This window comes from Homo sapiens, chromosome 5 (assembly GCF_000001405.40).
Source record: "Homo sapiens chromosome 5, GRCh38.p14 Primary Assembly".
Lineage (NCBI taxonomy): Eukaryota > Metazoa > Chordata > Mammalia > Primates > Hominidae > Homo > Homo sapiens.
In genome coordinates this window covers 40978134-40986226 of record NC_000005.10, presented here as the reverse complement: position 1 = coordinate 40986226, position 8093 = coordinate 40978134, and the positions used below count along the sequence as shown (strand labels likewise).

The window sequence follows — 8093 nt, the reverse complement described above, 5'->3', positions numbered from 1 at the left end:
CAAAACTTTTTCTTTAATAAGAAAATTATATTTTACTGTTGCTGAAAATTCCTTGACCTCTCTGTGTTCCCAGTTGACTAGGGCAGCTGATTATTTTGTAATAGACCCTCAAGCCAACATCGCATGTGCTTCGTTTTTCAGTCAATGTTTCTCTGTCTTGGACATCATTGATCTGCCGTATAACTAAGTCCCCTTCCCTGGAATTCAGTGCAAGTCTCCTCTCATAGAGATGCATGGAAATAACAGTGATAACAGAGCAGTTCCTATGTTTGTCTTTTCACAGGAAATTGTCCTCAGCCTATGAATTGAAAAGAACATTTTCATGTTTTCTTCTCTTGCCCACCTTCTCACCTCCAGCCCACCCCTTTCAAACAACGGCAGTCTTTCCATCTGGTCTTGTTAACCCCTGGCTGAGGAAGCAAATTTTTCTATGTGATTGATATCTTGAATGTAAATCTAGAGCTTTGCCTTCACAGCCTGACAGGAATAAATAAAAAGACAAATTGTAGGTGCTTTGGTTGTCACAGCAGGGGCTCCTATCATGGCATCAGCTTTCTCGTCCACAAATGTGTGAATGGCCTGAAAGTCCAAGGTAATTGAAAGGCAGGCATAAACCTGTTTTCTCAGACATTAATGGAAATTGCCTCCTACTGATGTCGCTTTTCTGGCTTAGTGTTCTGAGAAAGAAACAAGCCATTCTGTTTCTAACACAAGTATTGAGTACGCTTTAACTAGTCCATCAAGGAAGAAAAATCTCAGTGGACTGGTATGGCTACTCAGTTCTGCCAATCCCATACTAAGAATGGCCCAATTTATCTCTCTCTTTCTATCTCTCCTGCCTCCCCTTTTCTTTTCTCTTCTCTTCTTTGTCTATCCGCTCTACTTCAGAGAAGAGAAAGAGAAGTATTGGATACCCCTGAATACCCACTTCATCTTGTGCCCAAAGTATGCAATATCTTAAGTTTTCTTCAAGTTTATGATGATGACCACTTCCACTAGCTATTATGCTGTGAAAATAATCCAAATGCCTGTGGTGGGTGAGTATGTGTGTATAAGTGAGTAAGTTTGTGTGTATTATGTGTGAGTATGTGTGTATTATCTCCAAATAATCCAAATGCCTGTGGTGGGTGAGTATGTGTGTATAAGAAATGTGAATAGGAACATAAAGAAAATACAGAATAATGATAAACCATGGTGCCGTGGTTTGCATGTGTTTCCCAAAGTTCATGTGTTGGAAACTTAACCTCCAATGCACGTGTTGGGAGGCAAGCCTTCATAAGAAGTGATTAGGACATGAGGTCTCTGCTGCTATGAATGGATTGTGTTGTTGTAACGGGAATGGGTTAGTTATCATGAGGGTGCTTTTGTTATAAAAACGAGTTCAGCCCCTGCTTCCTCTTGCTCTCTCTTGCCCTTCCACGTTTTGCCATAGGATGATGCAGCATGAAGGCCCTGCCAGATGCCAGCACCATGCTCATGGACTTCCCAGCCTTCAGAACCAGCAGCCAAATAAATTTATGCTCATTATAAATTACCCAGTTGGTGATATTCTGTTATAACAGCATAAAACAGACTGAGACAGGACGGGTTCAAAAAATATTGATTAATACACATACCTTGACCGAAAGAAAAAGTGATTACTAATTGGACACATAAGTGGACACATAATAAGCCGGGCACATAAATGGACACATACTAGGCTGTTTCAGGGAATGCTGTATAAACCAGCTGCTCAGCACTTGCAGCTCTTAGCAGTTACAAAACAACTAGATGGTTCACAAGACTCATGTGAAGCTGAGATTAGCCATGATCTGCCCAGCAAAGAGGGCAACCCTCAATCAGATTAGCCAGTTACCTGGCTAGTTGCTAGGTAATCCAAAGTTCCGGGGGTCACTTGTCAGATTTCCTGCTTGGCACTCCACATCCCTACCATACCCTACCTGAATACGAAGAACCCTCCTTCTCTTTCAAGGTGATTACAAGTCATCCTGCACTGGGAAAGAAGGTTACATTAATAACAGTTTGAATGGGGCTCATTAAATCTCAGGGCTTAGAGAAGCAGCACTACTTTTGATCAATTAGGAAATACATAAGATGTCACAGGAAGGCACTTCTCAAAACGATTAGGAAATATTCTCAGGCACCTTCTCTGCCCAGGTAACTTGTAGCGTCCTCATGAGTGGTAAGCGATGATCTGTAGGATGTGCCTTGGCCTCCACATAGCTCCCTGAAGCTAGTGATGATTAATGCACCAGCCAATTTCCTTCTCTTTGTCTGTTCCTTCTGAGGGCCAAATGACTCTAATCTCAGCAATGCTTTCTGCCCTCTGCCTCCTCCAAGGCTCTATCCCCTTCTAACCCAGATGACCCTCACCTGATCTGAGGCACAGGAAAGGGCAGGAAGATGGAATTCTCACAGTCTTTATTCTTTTTCCATTTATTTTTGTGGTATAAAATCATTCCCTTAACTTTCCTCAAAGCCTCTCCATAGGTGTTCAAGAACTTATTTTGGAAGTTTCAAAACATTTTTAAAAATTTAATCTTAAAAATGACTTTCTCCTTGCTGACCTGCTGCGACAATCCTAATTCTCCACAGGCAATTGTGAATGCCTCTGTTGGACTAGAGGAAAGGTCAGCACAAGAATGTTCAGAAAAGAAAAGGAGGAAAAAAATACAGTATTTCAAGACAACACCTCTTCACGACAACATTCACTGCTCCTCTCCTTCTCCTCTCCTTGACTTCTCCTTCAATAACTCTGCTGAAATTCCTTTCTCAAACCTCTTAGTTACATCTACTCATTTCCTTTCTTTCAAACCTCAATCTCTGATGATATGTGATAATGCTGACCATATCCTCTGTATTATTTAGGAAGGGGGCATGGTGATACATAAGCGGTAGGAATCTAACTCCATACTAGCTTAAGCTAAGAGGAGAAATTATTGGAAGGATACTGAGGTATTTCCTTCCAAATGAATTACTTGTTCAACCTTTTGTCTCAGGGTCTGCATCCAGGCCTAGCATGTTCAAATGTGTCCTCCCATCCAGGGTAGAAATTAACTCTGTAATAACCGCTAACAAATGCAGTTGCAATGTCTGAATGTCATTGTTTTTAACCAATTGAAACCTGCCTCCTTGTAACTTCAACATATTATATCTGCATCTTCCCTTAGGGCACACTTTGATACAAAAAGCTAGATCTGGATCAGACATAAAACTTCAGGCAAGAACACATTAACCATTCATCATGAAAATCTTCTCTAAAATGAAACATCATACAAATGAAACAATTCTGAAGAATAGCATCTTTAATGAGTGTTCTAATCCTTGTCATCTGAAGTTTTGAAATATATTTACCAGGGTCAGAACAATACAGAGATAGTATTTGTATAATATAGCTTATTTTAAATTTCATTTAAGCCCTCTCATTTCTCCTCCCACAGCTGCTGTTTTGTTTTGATGAAAGAGAAATAAGGAATAAATAAAAGGTCAATGCTTCAAACTAATCTACCTGTGTACTCCCTGAAAACTCTGGGACTGTATCCACAGAATAGGGAAAACTATTCTCAAATGCACAGTCACTCATGCCTCAGGCATGAACTGATGTTCTTTCAAAAGAAAAAAGAACAGGGGCAAACTTCCAGTCCTATGTTTGACACATACTAAAACCCCAAAGAGAAGACTGAATTGTATTTGTTCTCAGACAAGACACCCCTGTGACCACAGCATAATGAATTCTGCTCTAACATTTTAGTGGTTCAATCTCCCGACAAGAGTAAGTATTCCAGCCAGGCGTGGTGGTTCATGTCTGTAATCCCAGCACTTTGGGAGGCCAAGGCAGGCGGATTACCTGAGGTCAGGAGTTGGAGACGAGCGTGGCCAACATGGTGAAACCCCATCTCTACTAAAAATGCAAAAATTAGCTGGGCGTGGTGGCGGGCACCTGTAATCCCAGCTGCTTGGGAAGCTGAGGCACAAGAATCGCTTGAACCCAGGAGGCGGAGGTTGCAGGGAGATGAGATCACCCCACTGCGCTCCAGCCTGGGCAACAAAGTGAGACTCTGTCTTAAAAAAATTAAAAAAAGAATAAGGAATTCCTATCTGTGGTGGTTGACTCTATAGGATGAAGTGTGAGATTACTACTCAGGATAGAAATAGTTTGTATCTGTCATTTTTGTTCAAGTCCTCTTTATATTTGGTTCCATTGAGGAAAACCACCCTCTCTAATCAGGAGATCACGTTCTTTCTGTTATCCTAGTCATTTTGTAGAGTGTGTTCTGGCCCATGGGCTGTGTCAATCATACTTAATAAAATGATAGGCCTGAATGGAGCATTCAAGTTTCTCTAGTGCAATCCTCTAATTTTACAGATTTTAAAAAACCAAGGCCCAGAGAAGGTAACACCTATTTCAAGAACACGCAGCCAGCCTGTGCAAAGGCTCATATCCTTACTGACATTAAAAAGGAGGCAAAAGAGTAATTCGATTCAGATTTGGGAGAACAAAGGATTGTGTTTATACAGATGGCTGGGAGTTGAGGAGGAAGGTAGACACTGGAGAAGAAGGAAAAGCTGTCCAGTGCCCAGTTGTGCAGATGTTTTCACTCAGCCCCAGCTGCCTGCTGGATTCCAAGCAAGCTGACCAGGGCCTCCAGGAGCCTACTGGGTTTCCGCAGCACAAGGCCTTATGCTGGTGACAGAGATGCTCTGCCCTCTGCATCTCAGAGCGCCCGCCTCACACTCAGACATCGTCTGCTCCTTGCCGTTCACTTCCACACAAATGCTAAACCCTTCTTCCTCGCACTCCGATGCTTCTCGGCAGACACATTTGCTGCTCTCAGCTGGAAAAGTAAGTGAAAGAGGCTTAATGGTACATTGTGGAGGTCGGGGAGTCAAAGAACATCACCTCCAAAGTAATAATGTGGTGATCAGAGCTGTAGAAGCTCCTGCCTGGAATGACATAATAAATTATCCCCTGGAAAAGCAGTAGGACCAGGAAATTGGGGCATTTTGCTCCACTCCAAAGAAATAGGTTTTGAGGTTGGTAGCAGGCTTTATATTGGTTAGACCACATGGGGTGGTTTTATCCAAGTCAAGAGCTCTTCAACTATCTCCTACATACATGCTGCTGTCCATATAAGCCAGCAACTGAGGTCAAATGAGAAGCCCTCAACAAAGAACCAAGTCAAGACTCAAACAAAGAGAGAGAGAAAAAAAGAGAACTTAACTTGCTTTGAGAGAGAGCATGGCATGCAAAAGGCTACAAATCCCAAAAAACAAACCAGAAATGAGTTAAGGAGGCAAGGAGTCTGTGCATGGAAAGTCCATGGTTGGAATACACCAGCCAGGAGTCTTCCAAAGATGAGTAACAAGGTCAGCCAGCAGACAATGGTGACCACCTAACCAAAAGTGACCCAGACATGGCTAGAGTCACATATGTATGTCATCAGTCTGTGCTGCAAACCTTGAGGGAGTGAGGGGACAGGTGCCAGCGGGTACAGGCCAGGAGGGCAGAGAGTGAAGAGACGACAGAGACCTTACAAGTCATAGAGTCCAGCTCCTAAATTTACAGATAGGGAAGCCCAGACAGTGACTTGGCTCTGGAGACCCAGCCATTCCACTTTCATAGTACTGCCCAAATCATGGGAGGTTTGCTGTGCTCTTGGGGGAGTTCAAGATCACTGTAAGTACTACTTAAACATAGTGTTAGCAAATATTGAATCACAACGTGAGAAAGTAACTTCTTCTTTTATTCTCTTCAAATCCGTCTGATTACTTCTAGAAGAAAGTGTCAGCTTGGTGCTAGTATGTTTTTAACACCCCTCTAACACTTGCTAAACTCACAGAGAAACAGCATAGTCAATGTTGGACCAGTATCTGGCTAGAGTCCACAACTTTATTTAGTTCCATTACATATAACTTTTATAGTTACCTAGTATTTATGGCAAGTGATACCTCCTTTTAAGGACATGATATAAAGTTTTCATTTTTAAGTTATTTTTATGTCAGACTTTTAAAAAATGAGTACACAATATGGATAATACAAGGACAGAGTAAAAATCATGAAGGTGGCATGGAATCACCCCTGTTTGGGAGAACATTTCCACATCAGGAATGTGGGAATCTTATCCTCTGAGGTCTGTGATCTGTGCCCTTCTCCAGTGAGGGGTATAGGAGAGGTCAGTGCATGTCAAATCAGTCTGAGTCTTTAACATCCTCAAGTATCTTCTTCGGCCCACTGCTAAACTAGAAACCACATTTTTTAAATCCTCAGTACTGTGACTTTAGCATTCTTATACTTACAAATATGAAAGGCCCCTTACCATCACATTTTCCCCACAGTGGGCAGGCACCACAAGCTTTCTCAGCTGAGGCAGGCAGAGTACAGCTGTCCCTACCAGTAAGGGTGTAATTTCTACCCTGACAGTGGAGAACATGCATCTTGCAAACTGTCAGAGGCAGTATCCTTTTGCTTCTCTCATCTTGAGCACATACATCCAAGGAAGGTCTGAAAAGAATTTTTAATGACATTATTTACAAGATTTTTGTTCGTAAAAGCTGAGAAGGAGAAATGAAAAGTGATGCTCTGAGCTTAGTGCCCCCAGATGTTATCACCCACAGTAAAAAAAAAAAAAAGGTGGAAACTCAAATCCCCTTCATTCCTAGGTCCAACTCACTTAGGTCTTCAAAATGAAGATATTTGTATTTACTCATTATTTGCTCACAATTTTTCTAAGTGTAGATATCTAGTGTTGATCTAGTTCTATCTAGAACAGACCAGGTACAGCAAATTAGATGAGAAGAAAAGGTCTGCTAGCAACAGCTGACAAAGGAGACAGAAAGCCAGTGGAGACCAAGCATTCAATGTGATCATAGTCAAATGGGACCATTAATTGCAGGAGAAATGAGCTCATCCCAGCCCAACAGCCAAGAGTTCATGTCCATAAAACTGCATTGTCCAAAAATGGATGACCCTAAATCATCACGGGAAGATGAAACTGTATTTTTCAATGCTACTTTTAAAAGTATCTATGTTTACAAAATAGTTTAGAAATATTTCCATAAGTTTGGGAGCCTGTAATCCCAGTGCTTTGGGAGGCCAACGCAGGTGGATCATTTGAGGTCAGGAGTTCAAGACCAGGATGGCTAACATGGCGAAACCCCATCTCTACTAAGCATATAAAAATTAGCTGGGCGTGGTGGCGCACACCTGTAATCCCAGCTACTCAGGAGGCTGAAGCATGAGAATCACTTGAACCCAGGAGGCAGAGGTTGCAGTGAGCCAAGATTGCACTACTGCATTCCAGTCTGGATGACTGAATGAAACTGTGTCCCAAAAAAAAAAAAAAAAAAAAAAAATTTCCATAAAATGTGTTACCTTCCTCATTAGCATTGGTGCTAAAATAGTGGAAAAAAATAGCTATTTAGAAATGTCACTATCAGAAAACTCCACATTTCTGAATGCTGATAGACAAGGAGGGCATTACTGTCACTGAAACCTTAGACAACACAGCATTTTTGTATACCAGATGGAGTCAGAAAGAGTCTATATTCACACACTTTATTTAGTTCTAATATTTTCCTTTTCTACCAAAAGCTACATTTACTTGGAGTTATTTATAAAACAGAAACAAATCCTGTTGTTTTGAATCTATCTTTTCATCTGTTTATTGAAACTTTAAATAGAACTACTTATAACAGCTGAAAGGGTAAAGACCTTACAATACCACCTTGTTGCCAGTATCTGAGACCATGGAATGACATGGAAATGTATACCATAACTATTAACAACGAGCTGCAGATCAACTAAATGAAATGGGGAAGTTGGAAAGAGGATGAAAATGACTCAAAATAAACAATAATTATTAAAGATTAGCAGCAAAGTCAGAATATTAGAATGAGAATGTATCTAGGCTGACCACCATTTCCATCACGCCATTTAGTTATTTATATTCCTCTTCACACCAGAAATTGCTATATACAATAACAATTACCCACTGTAGCTTCAAGAAGTTGGATATCGGTTTTGATAACCAAAATCATTGAAAACCAAGTAATTAGTGTTTTGGTTCTTTTTTTTTTTTTTTTTTTTCTTTTTG

At 41.0% G+C, this 8093-nt stretch overlaps 1 protein-coding gene across 1 annotated transcript in view; it reads right to left on the bottom strand.

The window, feature by feature from the left end:
- The window catches only part of C7 (complement C7), a 75147-nt gene continuing 68637 nt past the window's right edge, over nucleotides 1584-8093 (bottom strand). Inside the window, exons 17-18 of the mRNA NM_000587.4 lie at nucleotides 6318-6502; nucleotides 1584-4835 (exon numbers count right to left, since the gene is read on the bottom strand). Of these exons, the coding sequence (NP_000578.2) occupies nucleotides 4654-4835; nucleotides 6318-6502 (367 nt within the window). The 3' untranslated portion in view covers nucleotides 1584-4653. The remainder of the gene's footprint in view (nucleotides 4836-6317; nucleotides 6503-8093) is intronic.